This window comes from Homo sapiens, chromosome 7, assembly GCF_000001405.40.
Source record: "Homo sapiens chromosome 7, GRCh38.p14 Primary Assembly".
Taxonomy (NCBI): Eukaryota; Metazoa; Chordata; class Mammalia; order Primates; family Hominidae; genus Homo; species Homo sapiens.
In genome coordinates, this window is record NC_000007.14 from 119,992,612 (window position 1) to 120,011,989 (window position 19,378).

The window sequence follows — 19,378 nt, forward strand, 5'->3', positions numbered from 1 at the left end:
AGTGTTAAGAGGGAAATATATAGCACTAAATGCCCAAATCAAAAAATAGAAGTACCTCGTGTTAACAACTTAAAATCACAACTAAAAAATTAGAGAAGCAAGAGCAAACAAATCCCAAAGCTAGCAGAGGATAAGAAGTAACCAAAATTAGAGCTGAGCTAAAGGAGATTGAGACATGAAAAACCATTCAAAAGATCAACAAATCCAAGAGCTGTTTTTTTTTTTTTGAAAAAATTAATAAAATAGACCACTAGCTAGACAAATAAAGAAGAAAAGAGAGAAAATCCAAATAAACACAATCAGGAATGATAAGGGGGATATTATCACTGACCTCAGAAATACAAACAACCATCAGAGAATATTATGAACACTTCTATGCACATAAACTAGAAAATTTAGAAGAAATGGATAAATTCCTGGACACATGCACCCTCTCAAGACTGAACCAGGAAGAAATTGTTTCCCTGAAATAACAAGCTCTGAAATTGAGTCAGTAATAAATAGCCTACCAACCAAAAAAAGCCCAGGAACAGATGGATTCATGGCTGAATTCTACCAGATGTTAAAAGAAGAGCTGGTACCATTCCTGCAGAAACTATTCCAAAAAACTGAAGAGGAGGGCCTCCTCCCTAACTCATTATATGAGGCCAGCATCATCCAGATTCCAAAACCTGGCAGAAACACAACAACAATAAAAATCTTCAAGTCAATATCCTTGATGAACATTGATGTTAAAATACTCAACAAAATACTGGCAAACCAAATCCAACAGTACATCAAAAAGCTTAACCACCACAATCAAGTAGGCTATAAAGTTCCTATACAAGTCTTTATAACAACATATGTTTTCATTTTACTTTAATAAGTACCTAGGAATGCATTTGTTGGATCATATATGGTGGAATTATTTACATTGCAGAAAACAATTTTTCATATGTATATGATCTTTTCATTCATTGTAAACATGCATAATTATTAATATTATCAACATGCATAAAATATTTTCTTCCAATTCTGTGACTTCCCATTTCCTTATTTGCTTATTTAATGGGTCTTTTGATAAATAAAACATATTTTTAAAGGATATTTTCACTGAATATACAGTTTTCAGTTAATTCTATTTGGCCTCCTCCTTTTAGCATTTTAAAACATATTGCATTTTATAGTGGCTTCTATTGTTTCTACTGAGAAAATACTCATTATCATCATTATTGTTCCCCTTTGTTATTTTTAAAAAATTTCTCTGAATGCATTTATCTTTAATTTTCAGCTAGGTGGTATGATGTGCTTGGGTGTTTTTTATTTTGTATTTTATTACACAGTAGATATATTGAGCTTCTTAGATATTGTGATAATGTTTTTCCTCGAATTTAAAACATATATAGCTATTATTATCCAACAGTTTTTTGACCCCATCTTCTCTATTCTTTCCTCTTGGAACTCAATTACATTTTGTTAAATGGTACTAACTTTTTTCGTGTTAAATATGTTGTTAAAGACAATTTTTTAATTTCTAAATTTCTACTTATTTCTTACTTAAAATTTCTATTCTTCTCCTGAAACTCCCTTATCTTCACCAATTATTCTCCCTTTCCTCTAAATTATTTTACATATTTATAATAGATGCATTATAATCCTTGTCTGTAAATCCTGATAACCTCATAATAATTAAGGTTCATCTATGAGTCTGTTTCTATTGTCAGTGCTTTCTGTTAATAAAAGTTTTAATTTTCATGCTTCTTAGCATATTTTAATAATTTTTATTTTGGGTGTTAGTTATAAAATATAAGGAATTATACTTATTTTTGGTTTGTTCTATTATTTCTCCAAGATTGAAAAACCTTTACTCTCTACAGTAATTAGACAGAAGGACCAATTCAGCCTTTTTATTGTATTAAACAGGCGAACTAATTTAGATTCCTACCAACAGTGTAAAAGCATTTCTATTTCTCCATAACCTTACCAGCATCTGTTGTTTTTTGACTTTTTAATAATCGCCATTCTGACTTGCATGAGATGGTATCTCATTGTGGTTTTGATTTGCATTTCTCTAATGATCAATGACGTTGAGCTGTTTTTCATGTTTCTTGGCCTCATGTATGTCTTCTTTTGAGAACTGTCTGTTCATGTCCTTTGCCCAATTTTTAATGATTTTTTTTTTCTTGTAAATTTGTTTAAGTTCCTTGTAGATTCTGGATATTATACCTTTGTCAGATAAATAGATTGCAAAAATTTTATCCCATTCTGTAGGTAGTCTGTTCACTCTGATGATAGTTTATTTTGCTGTGCAGCAGCTCTTTAGTTTAATTGTGGAAGACAGTGTGGTGATTCCTTGAAGACCTAGAACCAGGTCTTTCAATTTGACCCAGCAATCTCATTACTGGGTGTATATATCCAAAGAAATATAAACCATTCCACTGTAAAGATAGATGCACATGTATGTTCATTGCAGCCCTATTCATAATAGCAAAGACGTGGAATCAACACAAATGCCCACTGGCTAAAGAAAATGTTGTACATATACACCGTGGAATACTATGCAGCCCTAAAAAAGAATGAGGTGATTTACTTTGCAGGAACATAGATGGAGCTGGAAGCCATTATCCTTAGAAAACTAACGCAGGAACAGAAAACCAAATACTGCATGTTCTCACTTATAATTAGGAGGTGAACAATGAGAACACATGGACACAGGGAGAGGAACAACACACACTGGGGCCTGTTGGTGGGAGAAGAAGGAGAAAGAGCATCAGGATAAGTAGCTAATATGTGTGAGGCTTAGTACCTAGGTTGTGGATTGATAGGTGTAGCAAACCAACATGGCACACATTTACCTATAACAAACTGCACCTCCTGTACACGTATCCTGGAACTTAAAATAAAATAAAGTAAAATTTAAAAGAAGAAAGAAGAGCAGGTGCTCTAGAGCTACAAATACATTGAGTTTACATGTGATTAGACTAGCTTCCAAATTCCTGTGCCCTCAATAGCTTCATGACTTCGTCAGTATTTAAGCTGAGAAATCAGTGAGCTGCAACATTCTAATATTTTCGGTGGATACATGGATTCAACTCTAGCAAGATCTTACATTGCCTTGCAATTTCTCTCTGCTTTACTGTCCCTTGTATGAGTGGATTGTTTTTACATTTGGCACTCTTTCATTTCCTGCCAAACCATAATTCCATTACAGTCTTCGTTGGTTTCTCCCTTTACCTGAGCATCTTCACTATCTTAGTAAGGGTGCTCTTCTATTTGATATATAACAAGCCAGACACACTTCTTCAGAAATGGAAGCTGCCACCAGATATAAATTTCTTATTTCTCCCTGAAATTAATTTAACCAAAGCTTTTTTGTATCCACTCTTCCTTTTTAGGCAATACAACATTTTTATTTATATTTTTGCCTGGTATATTCTTGTGATCAGCATAGATGTAAAGATTTTCTTCATTCTTCTACATCCTATCTACATGTGAAGTTCCTAACATCTAATTTTAAAGCATTTTACCTAGGATGATATTGAGAAAGTTAGTTATAAAATGACAGTTTTAGGACATGTTACCCCCAAATAAGGCACCTTGAAAGTCATTGTCTGACCTTCTCCCATCTTTCTCTGTGAGAGCCATCCATAAAAGGATTCTCTGGTCTACTTCACCTGACAGTAGGTCATAAGACTGTCATGTAACAGTCATTCTGCCCCATACATGGGGAGAAGAAATGTCATACAGATACACAGAAGAATCTGAACCAACAGGCCTTGCTGAGTTCTTCTCCCATGCCCCAGTTTATTACCATTAGATTATACTCCTTTTTGTCCAATCATCTTTCTTCGCAACTATCCACTTCTTTCATCAGATTTAGCACAAAAACGCACAGATTTCCCTGGGTCGTTTGTACCTTCATTTCTAAAATCTCCTATATAACATAAAACTTTAGATAAATAAACTCATTATGCTTTTCCCTTATTAATGTCTTTTGGTACAGGGATGTCAGCCATGAACCCTTCAAGAGGTGAGAGAAAGATATTACTTTTTATCCCCTATAAAAACAAATGATTTATTTAGTTTATATTCTAGTTGAGTGTGTACAGCTGCTGTCTCCTGGCTTCCTTGACCTATTGCTTGCTATAAGCATTAGACTCAAACCATGATTTTTTTTAAAGATGAATCTGATTATCGTTGACTCATTTCTTCCTTCTTAGTAGCTTAAAAAGGCAGGGTGGGAGGGTATGTTTGAGTAATCTCGTTTTAAATCAGACTGATGAAATTATCTGCTCTGTAAAGCTCGTTTCCTAACAAGGTCATTATTGTAACAAGGAAGCTCTATCTACCTTCCCTGAAGTTTGTTAAGAATTATAGGTAAAGGATTCCTTTTCCATGAAACATAGTTTATACTGCATACAATCTATGCCCAGACTTAGCATGCACCTCTGTGTGATAAATTAGTTCCTCCTTTATCTTGTGCACCATGAGCTGCCTCCACTTTCAAGTTTTATTTGATAGACACTATTTCATATTGAAAAATATGTCTCCAGTATTGTGGTCATGCCTCCTTTTCAAACTATATATATATATATATATATATATATATATATATATATTTTATATTCATAAAGGAACAGGGGTTCACTCCAGTTCTAGACTTCAAGCAGTAGCCTTGACTTTAGTCCACTATCTTACATTAATTACTTGAAGCCTCCAATACCCTTCAGAATTCAAAATCTTGATTACCATTTTTTGCTTTTAAACTATGATCGTTTGCTCTTTCCTTTCTGCCACCACACCACCAGAATGCTTAATGTTTTCAAATACAGTGAGGTGTAAAAGCATGACATCTAGACATAGGCTAACTAAATTTGATAACTACTCTTGGCCTCAGTATCTTAAACTATAATACATAGAGTAACAATAAATATTAATAGTACCTACCTTAGGCGGGGTACGGTGGCTCATGCCTATAATCCAAGCACTTTGGGAGGCTGAGGTGGGTGCATCACAAGGTCAAGAGATTGAGACCATCCTGGCCAACATGGTGAAACCCCACTCTACTAAAAATACAAAAATTAGCTGGGCGTGGTGGCATGCATCTGTAGTCCCAGCTACTCAGGAGGCCAAGGCAGGAGAATCGCTTGAACCTGGGAAGCGGAGGTTGCAGTGAGCAGAGATCGCGCCACTGCACTCCAGCCTGGCAACAGAGTGAGACTCTGTCTCAAAATCATAATAATAATAATACCTACCTTACAGATATATAATAAAAATTAAGTAAAACTTATATTTCTGGGAAATATGTTAGAAATATCTGAATATTTCTAATTCCTAACATATTCAAATAATTATAAAAATAAATTTTTCTATTATATTTCATTCACTATCATTAAGGGTTTGGAGTAGAAAGGGCATAACAGAGAATACATCTTTTTGTTCCATGTATCTTTCCCTGAATCTTCCTCTAGTCTTTCTTGTACTGTTAAATTGGTTGCATGCAGAACACAAAATCATGTGCATGTATAATTGTATTATTAAGTTCTAAAAATCTTCATAAAATTTGGTTAAGAAATTTTACCATTTCATTGGTGGGCTAGATATCTTGGGAGGCATACTTTTATATTATACAAAATATATATTTTAGTACATACCTGTACTTAATAGAAAGCAATGAAATTAAAACAACAACAACAAAAGACAGGAAAGGAAAGAAGACACTGAATTCAGGAGGTGGCATCAGTACAAGTAGCAAGAAGCAGTGCAAAGAAAGCAAGATCAGAAATAAAAGGCAAGGTTAACCTGGTGGGGAAAGCCTACATCACTGAAATATTAAAGAGACTAAGCCTTTGCTCAAAGGAATATAGGGAAGGGATGATTCAAAGAAGCTAAAATGGCTCTCAACAGAGCAGATGAAAGTCCTCTCTTTATGAAAGCATTCTTAATTCAAGCCCTCAGAATTTTCAACTCAAATATCAAACTCAATAAAATGAGTTCATACAAAAATTAGAAAACACAAGAATCAATATTCTATGAATGAGTGACCAGAAACCACAAAAAGAGATGAAAACATTCAAAGATTTCAGATATGGCATGACCAAAAATAATACATAATGTTAAATAAATCATGTGCATACATGTATGTATATGTTTCTGTGTGTTTATAATTCCAAATTTAAAAACTTATATTTTAAACAGTAAGTTAAACACAGCTGCAGTATCTACTCAGAATAGAGGAGATAGAGACAGGGACTTAAAATATGAAATAAAAGTTAAGTGACCAAGTGACTACAAAGATAGAAGAAAAAAAATCACTTTGAAAATTATTAGAGTCCAGAAAAAGAAAATAGACACTGTGAAAAGGAGGCAACAATTGAAATAATATAAAAATGTTCCAGTATTAATCAAAAACATAAATTGATAATTCCAGATATTATCAGTAATATTAACTATATATAATGGCTAAAAATTCAGAAGCCAAATAAGATATTTATGACATTCAATAATCAAAGATCACCTATCAGAGATAATTAGGTTGATAATACAATGCTTAGTATGATATTGAAAATTAGAAGATGGTGCTGAGAAATTCCAATTCATCTAAAATTGTGGAATGACCAAAACTATCTTCAGGACAGAAGGTAAAACAAATGATAGCCTCAGGCATACAAAAACAGATTTGTTTCATACATTTGTAATAAATTTAGATTCATTTGTCACATTTTGTCTTCCATCCTGAAATTCCATTTTTTTTTTTTTTTTTTTTTTTTTTTTTGAGACAGAGTCTGGCTCTGTCACCCAAGCTGGAGTGCAGTGGCACGATCTCAGCTCACTGCAACCTCCACCTCCCAGATTCAACCAATCCTCCCACCTCAGCCTCCCAAGTAGCTGGAATTACAAGCATGCGCCACTATGCCCAGCTAATTTTTGCATTTTTTAGTAGAGATGGTGTTTCACCATGTTGGCCAGGCTGGTCTTGAACTCCTGACCTCAAGTGATCCACCCATCTCAGCCTCCTAAAGTGCTGGGATTACAGGCGTGAGCCACTGTGCCCAGCCTATAAATATTTTTAATTGCATAAATTAAGATGTATTCTTTTTGTTGTACAGGCTTACAGGTTTTGACAAACGCTTAGTGCCTTGTACTCACCATTACAGTATTATAGAGAATAATTTTACTACACTAAAAATCTTTGTGCTTAGCCTATGCAGTATGCCCCAACACAAGCCCCGTTAACCGCTGATTTGTTGGCCATCTTTAGAATTTGCCTTTTCCAAAACATCATATAATTGGACTTGTAAAGTATGTCGCTTTGTCAGACTGGCCTTTTTCACATAGCATTATGCATTTAAGATTAGTCATCATTTCGTCTTGGCTTGATAACTCATTGTTTTTCTACTTCATCAAGAATAAGTTTTTATTGATAAATAATATTTCATTTTATATGTGCCACAGTTGGTTTATCCATTATCCATTATCAAATACATTAAAGGAAATCTTGGTTGCTTCAAATATTTAGCAATTATGAATAAAGCTGCTATGGACATTCATGTACGTTATGGGTAATATGTTTTTTTTCTTTTTTAACCAGTTGGGTAAATACCTATGAGCATGATGACTGGAATGTATGAAAAGACTATGTTATTTTTTTTTAAAGACTGCCAAACTGTCTTTCAAAGAAACCATGTCATTTTGCATTCCCACCAGCAGTGAATGAGAATTTCTGTTGCTCTGCATTCTCACCAGCAGTTGATACTGTCAATTTATTCTGGAGTTTAACCATTCTAAATGGTGTGTAGAGATATCTTACTGTTCTATTAATTTGCAATTCCCTAATGACAAACCATGTTGAAAATCTTTTCATATGCTTATTTGCTATCTGTATATTTTCTATGATGAGGTGTCTTTTCATTTTTTGTGACAATTTTCAACTGGGTTGTTTATTTATTGTTGAGTATTAAGGGTATTTTGTCTATTTTTGATACAAGTACTTCCTCAGATATGTGTTTTGCAAATATGTTCTACCAACCTGCGCCTTGTCTTTTCATTCTCTTAATGTGTTTCCCAGAGGAGAAATTTTATGTTTAATAATGTCAAACATTATTTCTGTTTTACTTTTAGGGATTGTACTGTCAGTGTTGTACTTAAAAATTCATCACCACAGCCAAGTTCACATAGATTTTCTCCTATGCTTTTTTCAAAAAGTTATAGTTTTGTATCTTACATTTTGGCCTAAGATCCATTTCGGTTAATATTTCTGTAAGGGGTAAGGTCTCTGTCTATCTTCACTATTTTGCATATTGATGTTCCATTATTTCAGCACCATTTCTTGAAATGATTAGCCTTTCTCCATTTAATTTTTATTGCCCTGTTGTCAAATACTATTTGATTGTATATGTGAATCTATTTTTGAGTTCTCTAATACAGTCTATCAATAACTCCAGCCGTCTCCTCATGCCTTCTCTCTGTACGTTCACCAATACCATACTCTCTTAATTATTGCAGACATATAATATTTCTTAAAATTGAGTAGCATCTGCTCTCCACCTTTATTTTTCATCTTCAATACTGTGTTGGCTATTCTAGGTTCTTTGCTTTTTCATATAGATTTTAGAGTCATTTTCTTAGTGCTGACATTTTGACTGAGATTGCACTGAATCTACACATCAAGCTGGGAAGAATTGACATCTTAACTGTAATGAATCTACCAGTACAGAAACACAGAATATCTCCTCATTTATTTGGAGTTTCATTGTTTTTTATATTGGTATTTTGTAGTTTTCCACATATAGATCCTAATGGTATTACGTTGTTAATTTCAAATTCTAAGTGTTTATTGCTGATATATAGGAACAAAATTTGATTTTTCAAATTAACTTTGTATCCTGTAATGTTGCAATAATTACTTGTTATTTTCAGGTGGTCTTTTTCCATTGATTCTTTGGGATTTTCTACATAGACAATCATATCATCTTTGATTGTCGTCTCTGAACAAAGACAGCTTTATTTTTTCCTTTTCTCTTATACCTTTTGATTATTTTACTTGACTTCTCACACTAGCTAGGACTTCGAATACAATGCTGAATAAGAGTGGTGAAAAAAGACATTCTTGCCTTGTTCTCCATTTTAGGGGAAAGTATCCACTTTTTCAACATTATGGACAATGTTAGTTATAGATTTTTCCACAGATATTACCTATCAAGTGCAGGATGTTTTCCTGTATTCTTAGTTTGCTGAGAGTTTTTGTCATGAATGAGTGTTGAACTTTTTTATATGTTCTTTCTGAATCAATTGATATGATCTTATCGTTTTTCTTCTCTAGTTTGTTCATGTTGTAGGGTGCACTGATTAATTTTTTAATTGTGGAACCACACCTGAAATAAATTTCATTCACTCACTGTTAGTTTCAATTTGCTAATACTTTGCCAAATACTTTTTGTGTCTATGAGAGATACTGGTCTGTCATTTTTGTTTTTGTTTTTTTCTTGTAATGTCTTTCCTTTATAGTCTTGGGTATGTCTTTATTAGCAGCATGAGAATGAACTAATATAGTTAATATGGCTAGTATGGCATATATTTTTCCATACCTTTACTCCTTCTCTTTTTTTTTTTTTTTTTTTTTTTGAGACAGAGTCTCGCTCTATTGACCACGCTGGAGTGCAGTGCCGCAATCTCAGCTCATGGCAACCTCCGCCTCCTGTGTTCAAGTGCCTCAGTCTCCTGAGTAGCTGGGATTACAGCCGCACACCACCATGGCTGGCTAATTTTTGTGTTTGTATTAGAGGTAGGTTTCTCCGTGTTGGCCAGACTGGTATCGACCTCCTGGCCTCAAGTGATCTGCTAGCCTCAGCCTCCCAAAATGCTGGGATTACAGGTGTGAGCCACCATGCCCAGCCCTATACCTTTACTTCTAACCTAAAGTAACTTCACTTTTAAAGTGAGGTTCTTATAAACAACATATAGTTGCGCATTGTTTTTATTATCCACTCTGACCATCTTCATTTGTGAATGGCGTTTTTGATTTTTAGCATTTTCTATTGATTCTTACACATTACCCATATGTTTATGAATGTTGTCCACTTTTTTGTTGTCCCTTAACATTATAAATAGTTATTTTCAATTCCCTTAATGACAATTTTAACATCTGTGTTATATCTGTCTTTTTTATTTTTAAAACGTTCTTAAAATTGTATATATTTGTGTTGTATACAAAGATATTTAATGTATGTATTACCTCACATACTTCTACCTTTCTTGTGGTAAGAATAATTAAAAATCTACTTTCTTACTCACTTTTAAGTATGTAATGTATTGCTTCTAACTTTAGCCACCATGATGTACAATAGATGTGTTGAATTTATTAGTTCTATTTAGCTGGAATTTTGTGACTTTTGAATATCTTCCCAGTCACCACACCTCCCAGTTTCTTGTGCCCACCATTACACTCTTTGTTTCTATGAGTTTGATTTTTATAGATTCTACATATAAGTGAGAAATTGTGGTATTTCTCTTTCTGTTCCTGGCTTGTTTCACTTAAAATAATTTCCACCAAGTTCATCCATGTCATCACAAATGATAGTATTTTCTTTTAAATTACTACTCACTACTAGCATTCCTTCATGAATACATATCACATTTTCTTCATCTCATCATTTGTTGAGAGGCATTGAAGTTCATTTTATATCTTGGCTATTGTTGCAATGAACATTGGAGTGCAAATATCTATTTGACATATCATCATACTGTGGATATAAACCCAGGAGTAGGATTCCTAGACTATATGGTAGTTCTATTTTTTAATTTGGGGGGAATCTCAATACCATTTTCCATAATGATTATGCTAATTTACATTCCCAAGAACAGCGTACAGGGGTTCTCTTTTCTCTATATCCTTTTTAATACTTACCTTTTGTCTTTTTGATAATAGCCATCCTAACAGGTGTGAGGTAATATCTCATTGTGATTTTAATTTGCATTTCTCAAATACTTAGTCATGTCAAATAATTTTCATATACCTGTTGGCTATTAGTATATCTTCTTTTAAGAAATGTCTATTTAGGTCCTTTGTCCTTTTTAAAAATTGGATTATTTGTTTTCTTACTAGTAAGTTGATTAAGTTACTTATATATTTTGAATATTAACCACTTGTCAGATTGTGGTTTGCAAATAAATTATCTCATTTTGTAGGTTGTCCCTTCACTCTGTTGATTGTTTCCTTTACCGTGCAGAAGTTTTTGATGTAACACCATTTGTCTATTTTTGCTTTGGATGCCTGTGCATTCAGAGTCACATCTAAAAATCATGCTTAGACCAATGTCATGGAGCTTTTCCCCTATGTTCTTTTCTAGTAATTCTACAGTTTTAGGCCTTTCATTTAAGTCTTTAATCCATTTTGAGTTGATTTTTGTATATGACAAAAGATATGGGTTCAATGCCATTGTCCTGCATGGAGATATCCAGTTTTCACAACATCACTTAATTGAGAGGCTGCTTTTTCCTCACTGTATGTTCTTTGTGCCTTTGCTGAAAATCAGTTGCCCTATAAATCCATGTATTTACTTCTGAGCTCTCTATTCTGATCCATTGATTGATGTGTCTGTTCTTATGCCAGTATCATGCAAGTTTGGTCATTAGAGCTTTGTAGTAGATTTTGAAATTGGGTAATGTCATGCCTCTGGTTTTGCTTTTTTTTTTTTTTTTTTGGCTCAATATTGCTTTAGCTATTTGGATGTCGTGGTGTGTATGTGGTGCCATATGAATTTTAGAATTGTTTTATTCTACTTTTATGAAAAATATCCCTGGTAATTCATTAGGGATTGCACTGAATCTGTAGACAGCTTTGTTGAGTGTGGGCATTTTAGCAATATGAATTTAATGCCTGAACTTAACATATATTCCCATTTATTTGTATCTTCTTCAGTTACTTTCATCATTGTTTTGTAGTGTTTAATGTGCAGAGCTTTCACCTCCTTGGTTAAATTTATTTCCAAATATTTTATTGTTTCATAGCTATTATAAATGCAATTGCATTCTTGAATTCATTTTTGGATAGTTAATACTTTATAGAAATGCTATTAATTTGTATATGTTGATTTTATATCCTGACACCTTACTGAATTTATTAGTTCTAATATTTTTGGTGGAGTCTTTAGGGTTTTTGTTATATAGGATATCATCTGCCCAGGTGCAGTGGCTCACACCTATAACCCCAACACTTTGGGAGGCCAAGGCAGGTAGATCACCTGAGGTCAGGAGTCCAAGACCAGCCTGGAAAACATGGGGAAACCCCTTGTATACTAAAAATACAAAAATTAGAGCGTGGTGGAGCATGCCTGTAATTCCAGCTACTTGGGGAGGCTGAGGCAGGAGAATCACTTGAACTCGGGAGGCAAAAGTTGCAGCGAGCTAAGATTGCACCACTGCACTCCAGCCTGGGTGACAGAGCTAGACTTTGTCTAAAAAAAAAAAAAAAAAAAAAAAAATCATTTGAAGAGACAAGTTAACTTCTTCCTTTCTGATTTTGATGTCTATTTTTCTCTTTTTATTGTCTAATTGCTTTAACTCAGGCATCTAATATTATGTTAAATGAAAACTGCTGGAGTGGGCATTATCTTGTTTTTGACATTAGGGGAAAAGTTTTTAACTTTTAACTGTTATGTATCATATAAGGTAAGAACTTGTCATGTATGGCATTTCTGTACTGAGATACCTTCCTTCCATACCTAATTGGTTGATAGTTTTTATCATGAAAGGATGTTGAATTTTGTCAAATGCCTTTTCTGCATCTATTAGGTGATCATGTGGGTCTTTTGTTTTACATTCTGTTAATATGGCATATCACATTTATGTATTTGCTTATGTTGAATCATTTTTGCATCCCAGGGATAAATCCCACTTGATCACAGTGAATAAGTCTTAAGTTTTTCTTTGATGGGAGACTTCTAATTATTTATTAAATCTCCCTACTTATTATTGATCTATTCTGATTTTCCATTTCTTCATTATTCAGTGTTGATAGGTTGTATGTGTCTGGGTATTTATTCATTTCTTTTAGATTATCCAATCTGTTAGTGTACAAGTGCTCCTAGCACCCTCTTATGATTATTTATATTTCTGTCGTATCAGTTGTAATGTCTCCTTTTTCATTTATAATTTTATGTATTTGAGTCTTCTCTCATTTTTTTTAAAGTTAGTCTTGCTAAAGGTTGACCAATTTTGTTTATTTTTTTTATGGTCTCGATCTCCTGACCTCGTAATCTGCCCGCCTGGGCCTCCCAAAGTGCTGGGATTACAGGCAGGAGCCACCGTGCCCGGCCAGGGAGTTAGTGTTTAATGGGTATAGTTTCAAGTGTATGGATACATGGGTAATTGAGGTACTAGTTTTAGACTGTAGTTGAGTTTCCTACATCTGGGGAAATCACAGGGGTCAGCATATCCGGAGTACAATGGATAAGCTTCACCCTGGGAAAACCACCTTCATGATCATGGTATCTCCCCTGCCAGGTACATATGTGTTTGGTTATTTCTTTGATATATTTCTTCTGTTTTCATGCAGGTGTTTATATGTTTCATGTAGGTCTAACTTCACTCTTAGAACCACTTTTGCTGCATCCCTTAAGTTTTCATATGTTGTTTTTCTATTTTTGCTTGTCTCAAGATGTTTATAATTTCTCTTTTAATTTTTTTGACCCATTTGTTGTTCAGAACCATGTTGTTTAATTTTCACATATTGTGAATTTCCCAGAATTTCTCCTTTTATACCATTTTATTCATATCACTGTGGTCAGAAAAAAATTCTTCATGTTATTTCAATTCTCTTCAATTTGTTAAGACTTGTTCTGTGCCTGTGCCTAACATGTGATATGATTCTAAACCAGAATGTGTATTCTGTTCCTATTGGATGGACTGCTTTGTATATGTTTCTTTGGTCCATTTGGTCTAAAGTATAGTTTATAGTTCAAGTTCAATGTTTTGCTATTGATTTTCTGTCTGGATTATCTGTTCATTGTTGAAAGTGGGATGTTGATGTCCCCTACTATTATTATATTGCAATCTATCTCTTTCTTCAGATTTATTAATATTTGCTTTATATGTTTAGGTGTTTTGATTGGTGGTGCATATATGTTTATAATTGCTACATCTTCTTGATAAATTGATCCCTTTATCATTATATAATGATCCTTTTTGTCTTGTTTTACAGATTTTTACTTAAATAAAAGTTAGCTACCCTTGCTGTCTTTTGGCTTTCATTTGAATGGAATATATTTTTTCATTCTTTCACTTTACTGTATTTGTGTCCTTAAAAAGTAAAATGATTCTCTTATATGCACCACATAATTGATTTTTTAAAAATATCTATTTAGCCACTGTATGTTTCGTGGTTGCAGAATTTAATCTGTTTATCTTCTAGGTAATATATTGATAGGTAAGGGCTCACTAATGCCATTTTGCTCATTGTATTCTGGTTGTTTTATAGATCCTTTGTCCTTTTTCTTTCTTGCTATATTCCTTTGTGATTAGATAATATTCTCTAGTCATATGCCCTAGATTTCCTCCTTTTTATCTTTTGTGTATCTACTATAGCTTTTTTATTTGTGGTTACCATGGTTACCATGAGGCATAATGCAAAACATTTTATATATTATATAGAAGCTATTTTAAGCTGATAACAAACTTAATTTTGATTGCATAAAATAACTCTACATATCTACTCCACCCACATACATTTTTATAGTTTTTATATCAAAATTTAAATATTTTTATATTGTGTATCCCCTAACAAATTATTGCAGCTATTATTTAGTAGTTTTGTCTTTTAACCTTCATACTATAGAAGTAATTTACACACCATCATGATAGTATCAGAGTATTCTTAATATGGTTGTGAAATTATTTTTACCAGTGAGTTTTATACTTTCATTTTTTTTTGTTACTAATTAGCATCTTTTAATCTCACCTTGATGTACTACTTTTAACATTTTTTGTAAGACAGATCTGGTGATGATGAACTCACTCAGTTTTTGTTTGCTTGAGAAATCTATCTCTTCTTTATTTCTAAAGGATAGCTTTGCCAGGTATGGTATTCTTGGTTCACAATTGTTTTCCTTCAGCATTTTGAATATATGATTCCACTTTCTCCTGGTCTATATCTGATAAAAACTCCCCTGCTAAAACTACTGAAACTCCCTGATATGTGATTTGCTTCCTTTGCTGCTCTCAGTGTCCTCTCTTTGATTTTTGACAGTTTGATTATAATGTCTTGATGTAGATTGTTTGGATTGAATCTGATTGGGACATTCAGCCTTTGTATCTGGATTTTTATATCTTTCCCCAAATTTGCAAAGTTTTCTGCTATTATTTATTTGAATAAAATTTCTGCCACTTTTTCCCCCATTTCTCTTCATAAAGTTTCTATGATTTGGGTTTTCCTTTTTTGATGCTGTTCCATAAATCTCATAAACTTTCTTATTTATTTTGTTTTCTTTTTTCTTCTTTCTCAGTATATTTACATTACTTCAAGTTCACAGATTCTTCTACTTGATTTGCTGTTAACGTTCTGTATTAACTTTTTTTTCCATTCATTATGTTTTTAGGCTCTAAAATTTTCTACTTGATTTTTAATAATGTGAAATTATTTAATGATAAAGATAGTCATAGAATCAAATAATTAAATAATTCAAAATATTAATCATTTAATTATATTATAATTTTATAATGTAAAAAAAATAATTTTAACTGCTAAATTTCTCATTTCAAATCACTTATCCTTTTTCTGATTTCAATAAATTGTTTCTCTGTATTTTCCTGGAGTTTGCTGATCTTCCTTAAAATAATTACTTTATATTCTTTGTCAGGAAGTTTATAGGCTTGTTTGGGATCAGCCTCTACGTTTTTGTGGTGGTATTATGTCTTCTTGGTTTTTCATATTTCTTGTTATCTTATATCGATGTATGTGCATTTGATGGAGTAGTCACCATTTGCAGACTTCATAGGCTAGTTTCAATGTGGAAAGACCTTCCCCTAAATGGGAAGAGAGGCTGGGAGCAGAGTGTGATAGTTAATATTAGGTGTCAATTTGACTGAATTGGGAGATGCCTATATGGCTGCTAAAGTATTTTTCTGGGTGTGTCTGTATACATGGGTTGCCAGAGGAGATGGACATACAAGTCAATAAAGTGGGAGAAAAAGGCCCACTATCAGTGTGGGTGGGCACCATACGCAATCGGCTGCCCACACAGCTAGAACAAAGCAGGCAGAAATAGGAATAAGCAGCTTGCTGATTCTCTCACTCTCTTTCTCTTCCTGTGCCAGATGCTTGACTCCTCTCCTTGTGTCCTTGAACAGCAGACTTCAGGTTCTTTGGCCTTTGAACTCTGTAATTTGCACCAGCAGCCTCCCAAATGCTCTTGGGCACTTGGCCTCAGACTGTTATGCTGTCAGCTTCCCTGGTTTTGAGGCTTTCAGACTTGGACTGAGCCATGCTACTGGCTTGTTTCTTTCCCAAGCTTTCAGACAGCCTGTTATGGAACTTTGCCTTGTAATCATGTCAGCCATTCTCCCTAATCAGCGCCATTTTATATACATATATTGTCAGGCCTCTGAGCCCAAGCTAAGCCATCGCATCCCCTGTGACCTGGCATGTATACACCCAATTGGCCTGAAGTAACTGAAGAATCATGAAAGAATTGAAAATGGCCTGTTCCTGCCTTAACTGATGACATTCCACCACAAAAGAAGTGAAAATGGCCGGTCCTTGCCTTAAGTGATGACATTACCTTGTAAAATTCCTTTTCCTGGCTCATCCTGGCTGAAAAACCTCCCCCACTGAGCACCCTGTGACCGCCACCCCTGCCAGCCAGAGAACAACCCCTTTGACTGTAATTTTCCTTTACCTACCCAAATCCTATAAAATGGCCCCACCCCTATCTCCCTGTGCTGACTCTCTTTTCGGACTCAGCCCGCCTGCACCCAGGTGAAATAAACAGCCTTGTTGCTCACACAAAGCCTGTTTGGTGGTCTCTTCACACAGATGTGCATGAAATTTGGTGCCGTGACTCGGATCGGGGGACCTCCCTTGGGAGATCAATCCCCTGTCCTCCTGCTCTTTGCTCCGTGAGAAAGATCCACCTACGACCTCAGGTCCTCAGAGTGACCAGCCCAAGGAACATCTCACCAATATGAAATCCGGTAAGCGGCCTCTTTTTACTCTTTTCCCCAACCTCCCTCACTATCCCTCAAACTCTTTCTCCTTTCAATCTTGGAGCCACGCCTCAATCTCTCCCTTCTCTTAATTTCAATACCTTTCATTTTCTGGTATAGACAAAGGGGACACATTTTATTCGTGGACCCAAAACTCCGGCACCTGTCATGGACTCAGGAAGGCAGCCTTCTCTTGGTGTTTAATCATTGAGGGGTGGCAAGTCAATTGCAGGGATGCCTGCTTTGGCCGCTTACCCACCTTGCAGCCCAGGGCTGCTCCCCACCCCCTTCTCCATGTCTCTACCTTTCTCTTTAAACTTGCCTCCTTCACTATAGGCAACCTTCCACCCTCCATTCCTCCTCCTTCTCCCTTAGCCTGTGTTCTCAAGAACTTAAAACCTCTTCAACTCACACCTGACCTAAAACCTAAATGCCTTATTTTCTTCTACAATGCCACTCCACCCCAACACAAACTCAACAGTGGTTCCAAATAGCCAGAAAACGACACTTTCGATTTTTCCATCCTACAAGATCTAAATAATTCTTGTTGTAAAAGGGGCAAACGGTCTGAGGTGCCTGACGTCCAGGCATTATTTTACACATCGGTCCCTCCCTAGTCTCTGTTCCTAATGCAACTCATCCCAAATCTTCCTTCCCTCCTGCCTCTCCCCAGTCCCAACCCCAAGTGTCACTGAGTCTTTCTAATCTTCCTTTTCTACAGACCTATCTGACCTCTCCCCTCCTCACCAGGCCAGAAGGGGAGGAAGTCCCAATTCTTCCTCAGCCTCCACTCCTCCACCCTATAATCCTTTTATCACCTCCCCTCCTCACACCCAGTCTGGCTTACAGTTTAGTTCCATGACTAGCCTTCCCCCACCTGCCCAGCAATTTTCTCTTAAAAAGGTGGCTGGAGCTAAAGTCATAGTCAAGGTTAATACTCCTTTTTCTTTATCCGACCTCTCCCAAATCAGTTAGCATTTAGGCTCTTTCATCAAATATGAAAAACCCAGCCCAGTTAATGGCTCATTCGGCAGCAACCCTGAGACACTTTACAGCCCTAGATCCTAAAAAGTCAAAAGGCCATCTTATTCTCAATATACATTTTATTACCCAATCAGCTCCTGACATTAAATAAAACTCCAAAAATTAAATTCTGGCCCTTAAACCCCACAACAGGACTTAACCTCGGCTTCAAGGTGTACAATAATAGAGTAGAGGCAGCCAAGTAGCAACATATTTTTGAGTTGCAATTCCTTGCCTCCACTGTGAGACAAACCCCAGCCACATCTCCAGCACACAAGAACTTCCAAATGCCTGAACCGCAGCAGCCAGGTGTTCCTCCAGAACCACCCCCCAACCAGGAGCTTGCTACAAGTGCCAGAAATCTGGCCACCAGGCCAAGGAATGCCCACAGACCAGGATTCCTCCTAAGTCATGTCCCATCATGCAGGACCCCATTGGAAATTGGACTGTCCAACTCGCCTGGCAGCCACTCCCAGAGCCCCTGGAACTCGGCCCAAGGCTCTCTGACTCCTTCCCAGATCTTCTCGGCTTAGCAGCTGAAGACTGACGCTGCCTGATGACCTCAGAAGCCTACAGGACCATCACAGAAGCTCTAGGTAATTCTCACAGTGGAAAGTAAGTCCGTCCCCTTCTTAATCAATACAGAGGCTACCCACTCCACATTACCTTATTTTCAAAGGCCTGTTTCCCTTGCCTCCATAACTGTTGTAGGTACTGATGGCCAGGCTTCTAAACCTCTTAAAACTCCCCAACTCTGGTGCCAACTCAGACAATGCTCTTTTAAGCACTCCTTTTTAGTTATCCCCACCTGCCCAGTTCCCTTATTAGGCTGAGACACTTTAACTAAATTATCTGCTTCCTGACTATTCCTGGACTACAGCCACACCTCATTGCCACCTTTTCCCCCAGTTCAAAGCCTCCTTCACATCCTCCCCTTGTATCTCCCCACCTTAGCCCACAAGTATAGGATACCTCTACTCCCTCCTTGGTGACCGATCATGCACCCCTTACCATCTCAGTAAAATCTAATCACCCTTTCCCCACTCAATGCCAATATCCCATTCCACAGCATGCTTTAAAAGGATTAAAGCCTGTTATCACTCACCTGCTACAGCATGGCCTTTTAAAGCCTATAAACTCCCCTTACAATTCCCCCATTTCACCTGTCCTAAAACCA

The 19,378-nt window shown here is 35.6% G+C and overlaps 1 pseudogene, besides 1 other annotated feature; it reads right to left on the minus strand.

The window, feature by feature from the left end:
* On the minus strand, nucleotides 13,365–13,490 carry RNU1-29P (RNA, U1 small nuclear 29, pseudogene; annotated as a pseudogene).
* Nucleotides 16,471–16,972: an enhancer, noted in NCBI's record as "NANOG hESC enhancer chr7:119649136-119649637 (GRCh37/hg19 assembly coordinates)". NCBI's record gives its function as "activates a minimal SCP1, AML or CMV promoter by ChIP-STARR-seq in naive and primed H9 embryonic stem cells {active_cell/tissue: H9 hESC(naive and primed)}" and the evidence as "EXISTENCE:reporter gene assay evidence [ECO:0000049][PMID:30033119]".